General features: G+C 40.2%; 1 protein-coding gene across 7 annotated transcripts in view, besides 2 other annotated features; it reads left to right on the top strand.

Annotated features, from left to right (window-relative positions):
* Window positions 1–18,548, top strand: part of PECR (peroxisomal trans-2-enoyl-CoA reductase) — a 52,722-nt gene that overhangs the window by 12,473 nt on the left and 21,701 nt on the right. For 4 of the 7 annotated variants that reach the window (XR_007078553.1, XR_007078552.1, XR_001738847.3 and 1 more), the window contains exons 2-5: window positions 2,819–2,952; window positions 3,860–4,025; window positions 10,361–10,442; window positions 17,792–17,888. Coding sequence is in view for 4 of the 7 variants with exons in the window: in NM_018441.6 (NP_060911.2) it covers window positions 2,819–2,952; window positions 3,860–4,025; window positions 10,361–10,442; window positions 17,792–17,888 (479 nt within the window). In the remaining 3 variants the exon portion in view is untranslated. Of the gene's footprint in view, window positions 1–2,818; window positions 2,953–3,859; window positions 4,026–8,546; window positions 8,628–10,360; window positions 10,443–17,791; window positions 17,889–18,548 lie in introns of those variants that run through there. The other 3 variants (XM_047445106.1, XM_047445107.1, XM_047445108.1) reach the window with 3 other exon arrangements.
* Window positions 11,090–11,149: an enhancer, noted in NCBI's record as "active region_17085". NCBI's record gives its function as "activates an Ori minimal core promoter by ATAC-STARR-seq in GM12878 lymphoblastoid cells {active_cell/tissue: GM12878}" and the evidence as "EXISTENCE:reporter gene assay evidence [ECO:0000049][PMID:35858748]".
* Window positions 11,210–11,389: an enhancer, noted in NCBI's record as "active region_17084". NCBI's record gives its function as "activates an Ori minimal core promoter by ATAC-STARR-seq in GM12878 lymphoblastoid cells {active_cell/tissue: GM12878}" and the evidence as "EXISTENCE:reporter gene assay evidence [ECO:0000049][PMID:35858748]".

Genomic DNA, 18,548 nt, shown 5'->3' with positions numbered 1-18,548 from the left:
ACACAGCTATATTATTTGCTGTCTGAGCTCTTCTGAACTGAAGAAGAGATGCACAGTGGGCATTCACTGATAGACGCTGGAAGAAATGACATGATTAATCACTGATCTTGATGTGCATCTGTTATTTATGATTTGTGGGTTGAAAAGCTAGCAGTAAAGTTTGCATTTTATGCAGTTACAGTTAATATACCATGGTTGTTGAAATTTGAACCATGTTGTTGAGAGACTGGTGTCTTTAAGCTAAGCTAACTGAAATCAGAGCATATTGGAGCAGAGCAAAAGAAGGACCGTCTCTACTTCCATTTCCCCTTCTTAGCCATTGTGCTATTATTCTCAAGGAGAAGGAGGGAATCATTTTATTTCTACATATGTTATAAATCTTACAATATGTTGTTATTATTTTTGCTTTGAACTATACCTTTAAAGAGATCTGAATAGAAACAAGAAAAGTCTTTATATTTACTCACATAATTACTATTTCTGCAACATAGACCTCATCTCTACTAAAAAAAAAAAAAAAAAAAAAAAAAAATTGGCCAGATATGGTGGTGTATGTCTGTGGTCCCAGCTACTCGGGAGGCTGGGGTGGGAGGATCAGTGGATCCTGGAAGGTCAAGGCTGCAGTGTGCCAAGATCGCCACTGCACACCAGCCTAGGCAACAGAGTAAGACCCTGTCTCAAAAACAAACACACGAACCATTTTTAGTTCTCTTTCTTCTTCTGTATATTTTTAGATTTTTATCTGGCATCATTTTCCTTCTACTTGAAGGACTTCCTTTCATCTTTTTTGTAGTGCAGATCACCTTGATGAATTCTTCCAGCTTTCATATGTGTGAAAAAGTCTTTATTTTGCCATCATTTTTGAGAGATATTTTCACTGGGTTAAGATTTCTAGGTTCACCATCTTTTTCATTGCTTTCCATACCGTAAAGATGTTTCAGTGTCTTCTGGCTTGCATTGTTTCTGAAAGAAGTCTTTATCTTTCTTGTTGTATACTTAATGTGTTGTTTTTCTCTGGCTGCTTTTAAGATTTTTCTCTTCATCACTGGTCTATTTAATTATATCATCAGTGTCATTTCTGGTTCCGGTTTTTTTTTTTTTTTTTTTTTTTGATATGGAGTCTTGCTCTGTCACTCAGGCTGGAGTGCAGTGGGGCGATCTCAGCTCCTGTAACATCTGCCTCCCGGGTTCAAGCAATTATCCTGCCTCAGCCTCCTGAGTAGCTGAGATTACAGGCACATGCCACCAGGACTGGCTACTTTTTGTATTTTTAGTAGAGACAGGGTTTCACCATGTTGGTCAGGCTGGTCTCAAACTCCTGACCTCATGATCGGCCCGCCTCAGCCTCCCAAAGTGCTGGGATTACAGGTGTGAGCCACTGCGTCCGGCCTGGGTCTGTTTTTATTAATTGACTTTTCTCCTAATTATGTGCTGCTATTTTCCTGTTCCTTGGCATGCCTGGTAGTTCTTTTTGTTGGATGCCATATACTGAATTTGACCTTGATGGATGTTGGCTATTTTTATATTCTTATAAATATTCTTAGACAGGCGCAAGAGATTGGGACCACCCTGGCCAACATGGTGAAACCCCATCTCTACTAAAAATACAAAAATTAGCCAGGCCTGGTGGTGCACGCCTGTAGTCGCAGCTACTTGGGGGGCTGAGGCAGGAGAATCACTTGAACCCGGGAGGTGGAGGTTGCAGTGAGCTGAGATCATGCCACTGCACCCCAGTCTGGCGACAGAGTGAGACTCCGTCTCAAAAAAAAAAAAGAAAAAGAAAAAATATGTATATATTCTTGAGCTTTGTTCTGGGATACAGTTAGGTCACTTGAAAACAATTTGATACTCTAAAAGAGGCTTGATCTGAGCAGCCTTTAGTCTATGGTGAATTTTGCCTCACTGCAGAAGCCATCTGCTTCTGCATATTTTACCGAATGCCCCGTGAAAGGTTTTTTTCTGGTGGGCACACTAACCATTCCCAGTGCTGTGTGAGTGCCAGGGTTTGATCTCCCTGCCCATTTTTGGTAGTTCTTTCCTCTTTGATTTATTCCCAAGCATCGATTGGTACTCAGGTGAAGATTCCAGAGAGACTCTGCAGATCTCTGGAGTTCTCGCTCTCTGTATATCTTTTCTCCCTATCCCCTGGGCAATCTCACTGCCTTGGCTCCCTAGACTCCCAACTTCATCTCTTCCGCCAGGGAGACTTTGGTCTCTGAATGTGTTCCCCTCCCTTGCTGCAGTGTAGAACCTTTCTCCAGGCAGCAAGCTGGGGCAATCCAAGGGCTCATGTTTGATTTCACTGTCCCAGAGATGACCATCCAGTGCTACTAGATGTCCAGTGCCAGAAAACCATCATTTCATATATTTTGTCCAATTTTTTAGTTATTTCAGGATGGAGGGCAAATTCAGTTTCTACTACTCCATCTTGTCCAGAAGCAAAAATCCTAATTCAGCTTTTTTTTAAGACATAGGAACACGCATGGCCAGGTGCAGTGACTTGTGCCTGTAGTCCCAGAACTTTGGGAGGCCAGGTGGGAGGATTGCTTTAGCCCGGGAGAAGTTCAAGGTTACAGTGAGCTATGATCAAGCCACTGCACTCTAGCCTGAGCAACAGGGTGAGACCTTGACTCTAAAATAAAAAATACTTTAAAAAATGGAACACATGATATATTTTTTCAATATTATTATTGTTGGAATTTGGACAACTCATGAAGGCATATTTATTTGTTCCCTGGCGGTTTACTTTTCAAGGTGTAATGTGGTCATTGCATCCCATGAAGGCATATTTATTTGTTCTCTGGCTGTTTCTCCTCAGGGAGTAATGTGGTCATTGCATCCCGTAAGTTGGAGAGATTGAAGTCTGCGGCAGATGAACTGCAGGCCAACCTACCTCCCACAAAGCAGGCACGAGTCATTCCCATACAATGCAACATCCGGAATGAGGAGGAGGTAATGGAGATATATCTGTATCATTTATTCATTCATTGTAATTTGCAGTAGTGTTTCTTAAACCTGGCTATGCTTCAGGTTCTCCTATTGTAGCTGTCTTAGATGAGGCTCACTAGAAGCAGAGGCTGTGAAAGAGATTCTCATGTTAATGATTTACTGAGCCGGCGAATCCTGGAGAAGGAGAGGAAGGGAGGCAAGAATGTGGTCCAGCTAAAGATGGCCTTTTGTCCTTTAAGTCTTCATTTTTATTTTTATTTTTTTGAGACAAAGTCTTCCTCTGTTGCCCAGGCTGAAAGGCAGTGGCACTATATCGGCTCACTGCAACCTACACCTCCCAGGTTCAAGCAATTCTCCTGACTCAGCCTCCTGAGTAGCTGGGACTATAGGTGCATGCCACCATGCCCAGCTAATTTTTGTATTTTTCATAAAGACGGGTTTCACCGTGTTGGCCAGGCTGGTCTCAAACTTCTGACCTCAGGTGATCTGCCTGCCTCGGCCTCCCGAAGTGCTAGGATTACAGGTGTGAGCCACCGTGCCTTGCCCTTTAAGTCATTTTTTAATGTTCATTTTAATCTGATTTCATCACTGTTTATTCTGGGTTGGTAGCTGTCAAATTAATATATGACAGAGGCCTGCCCTACTCAAGGGTGTTCCAGGCCCTTGGATATATCTTGTCGTCAAAATTACAGTTTTAGCTTTGTGATCTGTGGGTATTGGGTGCTGGTACATTACTCATTGGTGTAGGATTTTTAGTCTTATTCATTGCTGCATGTTCATTCATTGTGGCACTTGGAGTGACTGTTCACTGTGAGAGATTGCAAACTCTGTCTAGAGCAATCAATCAGGCGAGGTAGCAAGTTAGGCTATTAAACTTTTCCTTTTAGTAACTTCTACTGTTCTTCTTTAGGTGAATAATTTGGTCAAATCTACCTTAGATACTTTTGGTAAGATCAATTTCTTGGTGAACAATGGAGGAGGCCAGTTTCTTTCCCCTGCTGAACACATCAGTTCTAAGGGATGGCACGCTGTGCTTGAGACCAACCTGACGGGTACCTTCTACATGTGCAAAGCAGGCAAGTACCATCAGTATCCACAAGTCAACATGTCTTTATTTAGAGATCTCAGGATTCCTATTAGGGACTCAGAAGCCCCATGTCATTAACATTTATTGGCTGGATTTTCTCACTTACAACATAGGAATGTAAATTGGTACATTTCAGTATAGTAATTTGGCAATATTTATAAAATGTGGATATCCTTCAATCTCATCATTTTATTTCTTGGAATTTATTATGAGAAAATTATTAATGATCTGTACATAGATTTAGCTATTAATTTGTTCATAAAATTGGAGAAAACTCTCACACTTACTCTGTTTTTAAGAATGAATCTATTAAATCTTTTAGCAGAACCAATTAATAAATTCAGGGAGAATACCAGAGACAGAGTCTGTATGCTCTCTAACAACTAATTAGCATGCATACATAGTCTTTGGATTAAAGGTCATGTTTCGTGGGTGGTTAGTACTGAACTCCTGAGTTGGGTAACTCAAGAGATTTTGTAAAAACTACCCAAATCTTCTTATGATGAAAAATACAGAACAAGTACAACCCTATCTCAAAGGGTCTTCATGCCAACATGAATTAGGCTTTATATTCTTAGTATCTACAAGTCAGAGGTCTTGCAGACATCTCTACCTAACTAGCAGAATCAACCTCTGTCTAAGTCGTGATACAAGTTGGGTTGTTCCAGTGGAAAAACCCAGAAACAACAGGGCTTGAATATGAGTTTATTTTTCTCACATAAAAAGTCCAGGTAGGTAGTGTAAGGATTATATGGTAGTTTCATAATCATTAGGAACTGAAGATCCTTCTTATTGCTCCACTGTTCTTGACCTGTGGTTTCCATTTCATGATTCAAGAGGGCTGCTCCAGTTCTTGCTATCAAATCTGCATTCCAGACAACAGGAATGGGGAAAAAGGGTAGTGCTCACCCATTCCTTTTATGGGCACCATCTGGAAGTAGCACCATGATGTTTGCTCACATTCGTCAGCTAGAATTCAGTTAAATGATCATACCTAGCTGTAAAAGAAACTGGGAAATAGAGTCCTTAGGTGGGCAGCTATGTGCCTAAAACAAATTCTATTTCTATGGAAGAAAGGGAGAATGAGTATTGGGAGACATCTAGTGGTCTCTAACCCAAGCTTTGTAACTCTGTGCTTTCACTCCTTCTAACAGGCAAATCAGCAATGTCTTACCAATCCAAGATACCTTGCTAACAACTGTCAATTAAAAGTCTACAGAATTGAAATTCAGCCATGATTTTTATTAGCCAAAACTGAATTAAAGAATACAAGGCTGGCCGGGCATGGTGGCTCATGCCTGTAATCCCAGCACTTTGGGAGGCCGAGGCGGGCGGATTACCTGAGCTCAGGAGTTTGAGACCAGCCTGGGCAACACGGTGAAACCCCGTCTCTACTAAGATACAAAAAAAAAGAAAAAAAATTAGCCAGGCAGCGTGCATCTGTAGTCCCAGCTACTTGGGAGGCTGAGGCAGGAGAATCTCTTGAACCCGAGAGGCGGAGGTTGTAGTGAGCCGAGATCGTGCCACTGTACTTGAGCCTGGGTGACAAGAGTGAGACTCTGTTTCAAATAAATAAATAAAAAAAAAGTAAAACAAATACAAGGCCTATTATTTTTGCTTTTACTTATTTGGGGCTTTTAGTTTTTACTTTTCATAAGTTATATTTTTCTTTTTTTTCTTTTTGAGACAGAGTCTCGCTCTGTCACACAGGCTGGAGTGCAGTGGCGTGATCTCTGCTCACTGCAACCTCCACCTCCTGGGTTCAAGCAATTTTCCTGCCTCAGCCTCCCAAGTAGTTGGGACTACAGGCATTCACCACCACATCTGGCTAATTTTTATATTTTTAGTAGAGACGGGGTTTCACCATGTTGGCCAGGATGGTCTCCATCTCCTGACCTTGTGATCCACCCACCTCGGCCTCCCAAAATGCTGGGATTACAGGCATGAGCCACTGTGCCCAGCCATATTTTTCTGTATCTTGAAAATAATAGTGAAAAACTGAAAACCATGTAAATATTCTGGAGTAAAATATTAGTTGAGTGAAGTTTTATACATCTATATGATAAAGAACTATGCGGCCCTTAAAAATATTGACATAAAAATGTACTCATTAACATGAAAAAATATTGCCAGATATCACTGCCAGAAAAGCAAGTTATGAAATATTTTATCCAACATGTTCACATTTCTGTTAAAAAAAAGTATGTATTTATGTGTGCATATATATGAATAGAAATGATTCTGAAAAAATTTATACCAAAATACAGTCGTGTTGTTTAACAACAGGGATTTGTTCTGAGAAATGTGTCATTAGGCAATTTCATTGTTGTATGAACATCATGGAGTGTACCTACACAAACCTAGATGGTATAGCCTGCTACACACCTAGGCTACAAACCTGTATAGCATGTTGCTGTACTGAATACTGTAGGCAATTGTAACACATCAAGTATTTGTGTATCTCGACATAGAAAAAGTACAGTAAAAATGTGGTATTATAATCTTATGGGACCACTGTTATATATGCAATCTGTTTTTGACCGAAACATTGTTGTGACACATGACTGTATTGACATGTATCACCTCCAGGAGGCAAAATTACATATTATTTTTATTTTTTTCTTTGTGCTTCTCTGCCCTTTCTACTTTTTCTAATATGACCATATATTACTTATGCAATTAAAATGATTTAAAAGATGACTGCCCTAAAGTCCCGACCCAGTCTGTTTCAGCTTGTACCCTGGGACACAATATGCTATTGTTAAAGAATTGTGAAGAAAATCCACATATAAATTATTGGTGAATTTGGACTTTCCTATAGACTTTTATTGTTCATTTTACTGATACAGGAATTTTTACCCCAATTTACTTTTGGAAAAATGTTGGATCTGTGGGAAAGTTGAAGAAATAATACAATGGATTTCTGTATACCTATCATTTAGATTCATGAAGCATTGCCAGGCGTGATGGCTCATGCCTGTAATCTCAGCACTTTGGAAGGCCGAGGTGGGCGGATCACTTGAGGTCAGGAGTTCGAAACCAGCCTGGCCAACATGGGGAAACCCTGTCTCCACTAAAAATACAAACATTAGCCGGGAGTGGTGGTGCATGGCTATAGTCCCAGCTACTTGGGAGGCTGAGGCAGGAGAATTGCTTGAACCTGGGAGATGGAGGTTGCAGTGAGCTGGGATGGCGCCTCCAGGCTGGGTGACAGAGTGAGACTCTGTCTCAAAAAAAAAAAAAAAAAATTCACCACGCACTAACATTCCCATTTACATGATCTCTCTTTCTCTCTCTCTCCCTCTCTACAATCATGCACACACACACACATACTCACACACACTCGTTTTAAATAAACAATTTGAAAGGAAATTACAGATACAAAGGTACTTTGTTTATATATCTCTTAAATATAAACACATGTTTTCTATATAATTACAATACCATTATTACACCTAAGAAAATTCACAGTAATTCAATAAAATCACTCATTATATAGTCCTTATTGAAATTTCCCTAATTGTTTTCCCAGCTTTTAAAATCCAAGATGTTTTCAAATTCATGTATTGCATTTTTTTATGTCTCTTTAGTTTCTTGTACTCTAAAAAAAATCCATACTTTTTATATTTCATAACAGTGACTTATAGAATGTTCCAAATTCTGGATTTCTCTAATTGTTTTGTGGTGATTATATTCACTTAAATATTTCTGGCAAGACCCCTTCATATATGGTATATATACTTCTTACTGCATTACACCTGTAAGTCTGTTGTTAAGGTGATTTTACTATTGGTCATCTTAAATTTTTTCGCTTGTCTAAGATTCTGACCACCAAACCTTTCTGTTGTAAAGATACATTTTTCTATTTGTAAACTATAAGTAATCTGTGGATAATACTTTGAGACCATGTGAAGATACTGTTTTCCTATGTACTTTTATCCAATGGGTTTAGGTTCCTTTTTTTTTTTTTTTTTTTTTTTTTTTTTTTTGAGACAGGGTTTCACTCTGTCACCTGGGTTGGAGTGCAGTGATGTGATCGTGGCTCACTGCAGCCTCCACCCCCTGGGCTCAATCGATTCTTCCACCTCCTGAGTAGCTGGAGGTACAGGTGCATACTAGGCTACTAACCACCATGCTCAGCTAATTTTTTTTTTTTTTTTTTTTTTTTTTTGGTAGAGCCGGGGTCTCCCCTTGTTGCCGAGGCTGGTCTCAAACTCCTGGGCTGAAGCCATCCATCCGCCTCTGCCTCTCAAAGTGCTGGGATATAGGTGTGAGGCACTGCTCCCGGCTCATTCCATTTTTGATTCTTGCCCGATTCAGTTTCAGAATTGGAAGATGCAAAATGATGATTTTAAAAATTTATGCCTTATTTATTTATTAATTGGCATTCTTTTATAAAGATGAGTTTTTCCTTTTTTTCTCACCTCCTAAGCCTTACTATTGATGAATGGAATTTATTTTTATTCAGTATTTCTAACCCATTATTGTCATTTTCTCTCTGATGTTCTAGTTGACCAGCTAATCTGGCTTCTGTGTCTTTTTGAAATGGCTCAGACCTGTTTCTCCAAGAAGACCTAGTTCCCTTTAGTAGGTAATAATAATTATTGTTTGCTTATTTATTTATTTACTTTTTGGAGAGAGAGTCTTGCTCTGTCACCCAGGCTGGAGAGTAGTGGTTCAAGGCTGCATAGCCCACTGCAACCTTGAACTCCTGGGGTCAAGCAATCCTCCCCGCTTCAGCCTACCGAGCAGCTGCTACTATAGGCACATGACACCATGCCAGGCTAATTTTTTAATTTTTCATAGAGACAGAGTTTTTCTCTGTTGCCCAGGCTGGTCTTGAACTCCTGGCCTTAAGTGATCCTCTCACCTTGACCTGCCAAAGTGCTGGGATTACGGGTGTGAGCCACCACTCCTAGCCGGGAATGATTTTTAGAAGGCGAGATTTGGGTACTACATGTGTTCACTACTACTGGGTTATCATTACTTGTAGACATTTTCAGAACTAGGAAATAAATAAATATATGTATATGGTGGTATTTATCCAGAAGCGGAAGGTGTGTGTAGAATAATTTAAATGGTTATTCTCCTTTCTTGTGCTAAAATCAAATGGTTTTATATGTTTTCATATATTTTTCATATATGTTTTCAAGCATATATAAATAATAAAATATTTAACAATGAGGTTAACAAAAAAGTGTAAGACTTGTATGCCACAAACTGCCAGACATTGCTGAGAGAAATCAAAGAAGATTTAAATAATGTAAAAATATTCAGTGTTTATGGGTTAGAAGGTCCAATATTGTTAATGTGTTAGTTCTTCCCAAATTGATCTGTAGATTCAGAGCAATCCCTGTCAATTTTTGTAGAAATTAACAAACTGATCCTAAACTACATATGGAGATGCAGAGGGCCCAGAATAGCCAAAACAATTTTGCAAAAGAAGAAAGTTGGAGGACTTAATGCTTCTTGATTGCAAAGCTATTTCTTGATTTTAAGACAGTGTGGTACTGACATAGGCTAGATATATAGATCAACATGATTATAGTCATTAGGGAAATGCAAATAAAAACTCCAGTGTGATACCACTTCACACCCACTAGATGGCTATTATCAAAAAATCAGACAGCAGTGGCGTGTAGAAACTACATCCCCCATGCATTTCTGAGAACAATGTAAAATGGGGAGGGACACTTTGGAAAACCATTTGGCAGTTTCTTTAAAAGCTAAACAGAGTTAACATATGACCACACAAAGATTTGTATTCATAATTGCTCCAAAGTGGAACTATCCAAATGTTTATCAGCTGATAAGTGGATAAATAAAACATGGCATATCCACATAATGGAATACTACTCGGCAATCAAAAAGGAACTATTAACACATTACAACGTGGATGAACCTCACAAACATGATTCTAAGTGGAAGAAGTTAGACACAAAAGACCACGTATTGTGTGATTCACTTTACATTAGATTTTCGAAAAGGTAAAGGCAAATCTAGAGAAACAGAAAGATGAGTGTTTACCTGGGGATGGGTTAAGCTGCAGATGGGTGTGAAGGAACTTTTTGGGGTGATGGAAAGGTTCTCAAGCTGGATTGTGGTAATGGTTGCATAACTCCGTATATTTATTAAAAGTCATTACATTGCACACTTAAAGTAGATGAATTTTATGATGTATAAATTTTACCTCAGTCAGGCTTTTTATAAGGAAATGTAAATGGACGTGTAAAACATATCAAACAGGCAGTGTGCTGAAACAAGGTATCAGGAGGGCCAGGATACTTTAAAAATTTAATGATTGAGTTTGCCTCTATCCTGCAGTTTACAGCTCCTGGATGAAAGAGCATGGAGGATCTATCGTCAATATCATTGTCCCTACTAAAGCTGGATTTCCATTAGCTGTGTAAGCGTTTTTATATAGTTTTCTTTCTAAGTCTTTGAGTTTTGTCTTCTGATTGGGGGAAGCATGTTAGGGAACATTTCTTAAATCAAGATCATTAATACCTTTAATGAGCTGTGATTCTAACAGTTAACATTTTATTTTATTTGAACTTAAAATTCAAAGTACTTCTAAAACATTTTCATCCAGATGCGGACTGCCAGATTTACCAAGGAAAGGGAAAATAGTATTTGTTTTTTGTCTGATGTTCAGATTAAACTGGATGTCTTGTGTTTTCTTGGGCAACTCTAATCCCGATGTGACTAAACTGGCCATCACTGTCTAGGAATAGCTTATTTGTTAAAGTATAGAAATGAAACTAATCTGTGTTAATTTAGATTTGAATACCATTAATATAGCTACTTGATTTTACACAGGACTGCTAAGTTGTTCCTCCTAACAGATAATCCAGGATTTTTTCTCCAAAAGTTTCTAAGGTTTTGTGCCTCTGATTAGCCACTCTGTACACAGACAGCATGCCTCCTTTATGCAAATTTTAGTACCCTGCTCATTTCCTGGATTATGCAGAACTCCCAAACATGTATAGGATAAAAATAAAATTCAACTTGGCTTAAGTAAAAATCTAGGGCAGTGGTTCTCCAAAAGTGGCTTCCAGACCAGCCACATCCCCATCACTTGGGAGAAGTTGTTAGCACAGCAAATTATCCAGCCCCACACCAGATCTGCTGCAAGAGAAACTCTGGGGGCAGAGCGCAGCCGTCGTGCAAGCCCTGGAGGGGATCCTGGTACCTGCAGAGCCACTGCGGAAAGGGCATGTTAGGTTCAGCCACAATGTTAGCAGGAAGCTGCCTCTCCTTTTGGTTTTGCTTTCTTCATGTCTGCGTACATTCTCAGGCAGGCTGTCTCTAGGTGTGGCAAAAGGCGAGTACTAGCAAGAGTTACAGGTCAACACTCTAGCTGTTCTTAACTCTCCAGTGAGAGAGTGCCTCTCAAGTCATGCCAGCAAAAACAATATTAATGGTGCCAGCAGGTCCCAGAGAGGATACTCATTAACTGACCCTGCCTGGTTATGTGTTCAGTCATTAACCAAAAACTGTAGAAATGAGGTTGCTCTGCTATGCATGGTCAGCCTGAGGAATGAGGAACTGTGGTCATCATCGCTCAGACATGGACTGAGAACAGGCAAGAGGTACTTCCTCAAGTGGAAATCAATGTGATGTTACTAAAAACAGAGTAAAAAATGGTGTGCAGGCCATTGATACCACTCTACCTTCTTTTCCTGCTCATTATTCTTTACTAAATGTATTTACCTATTTTAGCATCTTGGAAGAAATAATTCAGATTGTAGGTTCTTTCTGGCATTTCCCATCCTCACAGGCAACTAGTGTTAATAGTTTTGGGGGCATATCTTTTTCCTACATTTTAACCACAAATTTAGGATGCTATAAACACTATTCTGTATCTTGATGTTCTCAAATGAAGCAAATATCCTGGAGATATTTTCTTAACAGAGTCTAAAGAGATTTCTTCTTATTTTTTTATGGCTAATATGCCACTTTTATAAACCATAAGTAAGGAATGATTTGTGTAACCATTTTCCAGTTGGTGAGCATTTGGGTTGTTTCCAACCTTTTGTTATTACCAAAACCAAACTAAACACCTGCAGTAAGTAACATTTTCTGTACATCAGATAGTGTGTAGCCTAAATTGCAAGAGGTATAATTGCTAAGTCCAAAGCCAAATGCCTTTGTAATTTTAAGAGATATTGCCAAACTGCCCTTTAGAAAAGTTGTAGTTCCTTTATGAGTGAAATGTGTCCTCTTTCATGCATATGTAAGAAGTAATGAGAGTTTCTTTTCTTAAAATACATTTTTGAAATGAAATCACTGGCTTTTCTGATATTCGGTTGGCTAGAAAAAAAACACAGCTTGTCTTTAACATGGAAAAGAAGTGTTTCAGATACTTCTTGCTTTTGTTCTCTTAAGAATCGTTTCCTTTTCCAGTGGCCTTCACACTTTGGACCATGACTCATAGTAAGAAATTTTACATCTTGACCTAGTAAACACATATGTGTATATGTGTCTATAGGCAAAACAAAATTCGTGAAGCAAACATTCTTACTATGTATTGTGCACTCTGATTTTTCTTTCTTTCCTTTTTTTTTTTTTTTTTTTCTGAGATGGAGTTTTGCTCCTGTTGCCCAGGCTGAAGTGCAATGGGGCGATCTTGGCTCACTGCAACCTCTGCCTCCTGGGTTCAAGTGATTCTTATGCCTCAGCCTCCTGAGTAGCTGGGGTTGTAGGCACCCACCACCACGTCCAGTAGTTTTTTGTATTTTTAGTAGAGACGGGGTTTCACCATGTTGGTCAGGCTGGTCTCGAACTCCTGACCTCAGGTGATCCACCTGCCTCAGCCTCCCAAAGTGCTGGGATTACAGGCATGAGCCACCACACCCGGCTGATATTTTCAATTTTATTGTGGTCTACTCTGTTGTATTTTCTTTTTTTACACTTGCTGCTTATTACTTGCTAATTTTATTTCACTATTAGCATTGTGTTGTAATTTACAATTTGAAAGACATGGCTTTAGGTATCCTCTACAATAGAAGAGGAGGATGAATGTCAGAGATTGAGCACTCCTTTTTTTTAAATTTTAGCTCTCTTAAGAGACAAATTGAAACTGTTGGCTGTCGCTTGTTTACTTGACCAGTACAGGTACATGTGCAAGATACATCTGGAAATACTAAAATGAATCAGATACCATCCACACTCTGAGGGAGTCTACAACTAGTAGGGGAGCAAAGCATGAAAATAATCAGCTAGAGAGAGAAGGTGTTGGATATTCCAGTAAAGGTATTTGCAAGTGTGCAAGATAAAAGGAGCACAGAGGAGGGCAGCATCCAGGCGACATGTCTCAAAGGTGAACTCGAGTTTGGTGACATATGAGGAGGAGAAAGGAAGGCAAGTCAATGAGACATTTACTGTGTAAAGACACAGAAATTTGAGACACTGTGGCACTTTTGGGAACTACAAATAATTCTTTGTGATGATGGGTGGTACGGCTAAATGGAAATTAATACCTTGGAATGGAGTGGGAGTCACAAAAGGCCTTAACTACCAGGGAGAGGAGTTTGAAGTGCATCAGGGGTTCCTACACTAGAGCCTGTGGCCCTGGGGCTCTGGGGCTGTGCATCCAGGAGGGCGCTTAAATCTGCAGGGTTATCACAACTAAGGCATTTCTTTGGAGGATCTTTTTACTCTTAATGGTTGAGAAGGAAAACATTTATATTCAAGTATGTATTACAAAGAAAAGCTCAAGAATGATGAGGATTTGGGAGTCATAGTTTGGGGGAGCATTATCTAGTTGTCCTTTTTTGGGAATATTTATGTACTAGGTTTAGTCCTATTACAAGTGTTTTTTTTTGTTTGTTTGTTTTTTTGTTTTTTTGTTTTTTTTTTTTGAGATGGAATTTTGTTCTTGTTGCCCAGGCTGGAGTGCAATGGCACTATCGCAGCTCACCACAACCTCCGCCTCCTGGGTTCAGGCGATTCTCCTGCCTCAGCTTCCTGAGTAGCTGGGATTACAGGCATGCGTCACCATGCCCGGCTAATTTAGTATTTTTAATAGAGACGGGGTTTCTCTGTGTTGCTCAGGGTGGTCTCGAACCCCCGACCTCAGGTGATGTGCCCACCTTGGCCTCTCAATGTGCTGAGATTACAGGCGTGAGCCACTGTGCCTGGCCTACAAGTTGTTTTTACATTAAGTGTCTTTTTTTTTTTTTTTTGTAAGACACAGTCTCGCTCTATCACCCAGGCTGGAGTGCAGTGGTGCAATTTCTGCTCACTGCAGCCTCCGCCTCCCGGGTTCAAGCAATTCTCCTGACTCAGCCTCCCATGTAGCTGGGATTACAGGTGCACGCCACTATGCCCGGCTAACTTTTTGTATTTTTAGTAGTGACGGGGTTTCACTGTGCTGGCCAGGCTGGTCTTGAACTCCTGACCTTGTGATCCGCCTGCCTCGGCCTCCCAGAGTGCTGGGATTACAGGCGTGAGCCACCACGCCTGGCCTACATTAAGTATCTTTGAATAACCCCAAATTCATTTTTTAACTAATGACCAATTTACAACATCTATGACTGTAGAATTTGGAATAACTTGTGAAGTTCACCGTAATGGAATTTGACATATTTGACTCATATTCTGATTTTGATTAATTTTTCCATGGGCAATAGATATTTATTTTTTCAGAAAAGAAGTCAGTGGGGCTGGATGCAGTGGCTCACGCCTGTAATCCCAGCACTTTGGGAGGCTGAGGTGGGTAGATCACCTGAGGTCAGGAGTTCGAGACCAGCATGGGCAACATGGTGAAACCCCATCTCTACTAAAAATACAAAATTTAGCTAGGTGTGGTGTCACACACCTGTAATCTTAGCTACTCGGGGGGCTGAGGTATGAGAATCACTTGAATCTGGGAGGTAGAGGTTGGAGTGAGACTCTGTACCCCCTCCAAAAAAAAAAAAAAAAAAAGAAAGAAAAAAGAACTTAGTGACCTTATTTAACCTACTATCTCAGTTATTTCCTACTTTTCTTTTTTTTTTTTCTTTTTTTTTTGAGATGGAGTTTCACTCTTGTTGCCCAAGTTGGAGTGCAATGGTGCGATCTCGGCTCACTGCAACCTCCACCTCCTGGGTTCCAGTGATTCTCCTGTCTCAGCCTCCTGAGTAGCTGGGATTACAGGCACCTGCCACCATGCCCAGCTAAAATTTTTGTATTTTTAGTAGAAACGGGGTTTCACCATGTTGGCCAGGCTGGTCTCGAACTCCTGACCTCATGTGATCCACCTGCCTCAACCTCCCAAAGTGCTGGGATTACAGGCATGAGCCACTGCACCCAGCCTATCTCAGTCATTTCTTTCATAAGAGTCTAAAGGTCATCCAAATAGAACTGGGAGAAAAACAATACACCAGGAAGTAACTTGAAAAACACAAGTTTACCAGTTGAAAAGTGTGGATTAAAAAAATATATATTTTTGCTGATTTCTTTAGTATCTTTTCAACATTCTGATTCCTTCCATTTTTTAGGGAAGCTAGAGATTGCATTTTTAAGAGGCAATAGAGAAGGTCTTTTTCTACAACCTTAGATAACAGGCACTGAAAAAGAAAAATTACACAAATATAGGTTGAGCATCCTGATCTGAAAACTCAAAATCCAGAATGCTCCAAAATCTGAAAATTTTTGAGCACCAATAGGATGCTCAAAGGAAATGCTTTTTGGAGCATTTCAGATTTTGGATTTTCAGATTAGGGATGCTAAACCAGGTAGTATATGCAAATATTCCAAAATCTGAACAGATTTGGCCAGGCCCGGTGGCTCACGTCTGTAATCCCAGCACTTTGGGAGGCCGAGGCAGGCAGATCACGAGGTCAGGAGATCGAGACCATCCTGGCTAACACGGTGAAACCCCCGTCTCTACTAAAAATACAAAAAACTAGCTGGGCACGGTGGCGGGTGCCTGTAGTCCCAGCTACTCGGGAGGCTGAGGCAGGAGAATGGCGTGAACCCAGGAGGTGGAGCTTGCAGTGAGCCGAGATCATGCCACTGCACTCCAGCCTGGGTGACAGAGTGAGACTCCCATCTCAAAACAAAACAAAACAAAACAAAATCAGAACAGATTTGAAATCCAAAGCACTTCTGGTTCCAAGCATTTTGAATAAGGCATACTCAATTTGTAAAATGTTCAGTTGAGGCTGGGTGTGCTGGATCATGCCTGTAATCCCAGCACTTTGGGAGGCTGAGGCGGGCAGATCATCTGAGGTCAGGAGTTTGAGACCAGCCTGGCCAACATGCTGAAACCCCATCTCTACTAAAAATACAAAAATTAGCCAGGCGTGATGGCGCACTCCTATAAACCCAGCTATTCGGGAGGCTGAGGCAGGAGAATCACTTGAACCCAGGAAGCAGAGGTTGCAGTGAGCCGAGATCATGCCACTGCATTCCAGCCTGGGTGACAGAGCGAGACTCTGTCTGAAAAACACAAAAAACAAAAACAGAGCATTCGTGAACTGTGAGACAGTTGGAGTCTCTGAAAGAGACATGAGAAACAGGGACGGAAAAAAATTTGAAGACACTGGGTGAAAATTTTCCAAATTTGATAAAAACTGTAAACCTATAGATCGAAGAAGCTCAACAAACCCCAGTACAAGAAACATGAAGAAAAGTGTACAAGGCACATCATAATCATATTGCTGAGAACCAGTGCTAAAGAGAAAGTCTTAAAAGCAGCTGGAGGAAAAAGACACATTGTATACAGAAGCAGATTTCTCATCAGCACCAATGCAAGTTAAAAGTTAGTGGTGTAACATCTTTAAAGTGCCAACAGAAAAAACCATGCCAACCTGGAATTCTTTATCCATTGAAATATCTTTCAAAAACAAAGATGAATTAAAGACTTTTTCAAACATATAAAATCTGCAAGAATTATCACCAGCAGACCTATGCTAAAATAAATGTTAAAGGAAGTCCATTATTTACTAAATAATCTGTTTTTTACCAGCTGATTTCAAATACCTTTGATTGAAAGAGTTTTCCTAATTAGTTGTATAAGTTAATTTTCTCACATTAAATTATCCTATATTTGGTTTTGAGGATCTTGTCATTAGAAATTCTAAGCCATGGTGTCTATCTACACAAGACCCCATACTTCATTTATTTTTGAGATGGAGTCTCATTCTGTTGCCCAGGCTGGAGTGCAGTGGTGTGATAACAGCTTACTGCAAACTCCATCTCCCAGGGTCAAGCGATTCTCCTGCCTCAGCCTCCTGAACAGCTGGGATTACAGATACCTGCCACCATGCCCGGTAATTTTTGTATTTTTAGTAGAGATGGGGTTTCACCATGTTGGCCAGGCTGGTCTTGAACTCTTGACCTCAGGTGATCCGCCCGCCTTGGCCTCCCAAAGTGCTAGGATTATAGGTGTGAGCCACTGCACCTGGCCTCCTTTGTTATTTAAAATCGATGTTAAAAATAACCACAGGCTTGAAATCCTTAAAATTACCAATGTGTTTTCCTTTGTAATCAAAGTTCTTTAAAGTATTCCTCTTACGTAGTGATTTGGGGAGCCTTATCTGGGTCTATGCCATGTGAGATTTGCTTGATCATCAGCTGTGGCTTGGATTTAATATTGAAGGACATAGTTTTTTCTTCGTTGTTTAGACAGAAGCTCAACAAGACAGACTCCATAGCAAGAAGTCTCTTGTGGAATTCTGTCAGGTAGTTGGCACACTTGTGAGCTTGATGAACAAGAGAAATATTCAACAGAAGCTGATTGTCATGTTTATGTTTTGTCTTTCAAAGGCATTCTGGAGCTGCAAGAGCAGGTGTTTACAACCTCACCAAATCTTTAGCTTTGGAATGGGCCTGCAGTGGAATACGGATCAATTGTGTTGCCCCTGTAGGTAAACGATCTATATTGAAATTTATTGACAAATTATGCTTTCTGATTCCATTTGTGATGTTGATAGAGGTATTTGGTAATAAGCAAGTATAGCATAAAAGATTGACTTTAAAACATAGATAAAATGGAAAGCCTAATTTTCTTTTTTTTTTTTTTTTTTTTTTGAGATGGAGTCTCTGTCGCCCAGGCCGGAGTGCAGTGGCATGATCGTGGCTCACTATAACTTCCACCTCCAAGGCTCAAGTGATTCTTGTGCCTCAGCCTCCTAAGTAGCTGGGACTACAGGCACAAGCCACCATGCCCAGCTAATTTTTTGGATTTTAGTAGAGATGGGTTTTCACCATATTGCCCTGGGTGGTCTCGAACTCCTGAGCTCAGGAGATCTGTTCGCCATGGCCTCTCAAAGTGCTGGGATTACAGATGTGAGCCACCGCACCCGGCCCAGAAGGTCTAATTATCATTATGGAAGTACTCTTTGATTTACAGCCAGATTGTCAAGAATGTTAAACCAGTGATTCTTGATTCTGGCTTTTTTTTTTTTTTTTTAGAAGGAGTCTTGCTCTGTTGCCCAGGCTGGAGAGCAGTGGCGTGATCTTGGCTCACTGCAACCTCTGCCTCCTGGGTTCAAGTGATTCTCCTGCCTCAGCCTCCCAAGTA

The sequence above is a fragment of the Homo sapiens genome, chromosome 2 (genome assembly GCF_000001405.40).
Source record: "Homo sapiens chromosome 2, GRCh38.p14 Primary Assembly".
Classification (NCBI taxonomy): Eukaryota; Metazoa; Chordata; class Mammalia; order Primates; family Hominidae; genus Homo; species Homo sapiens.
This window is presented reverse-complemented; position numbering and strand designations above follow the sequence as displayed.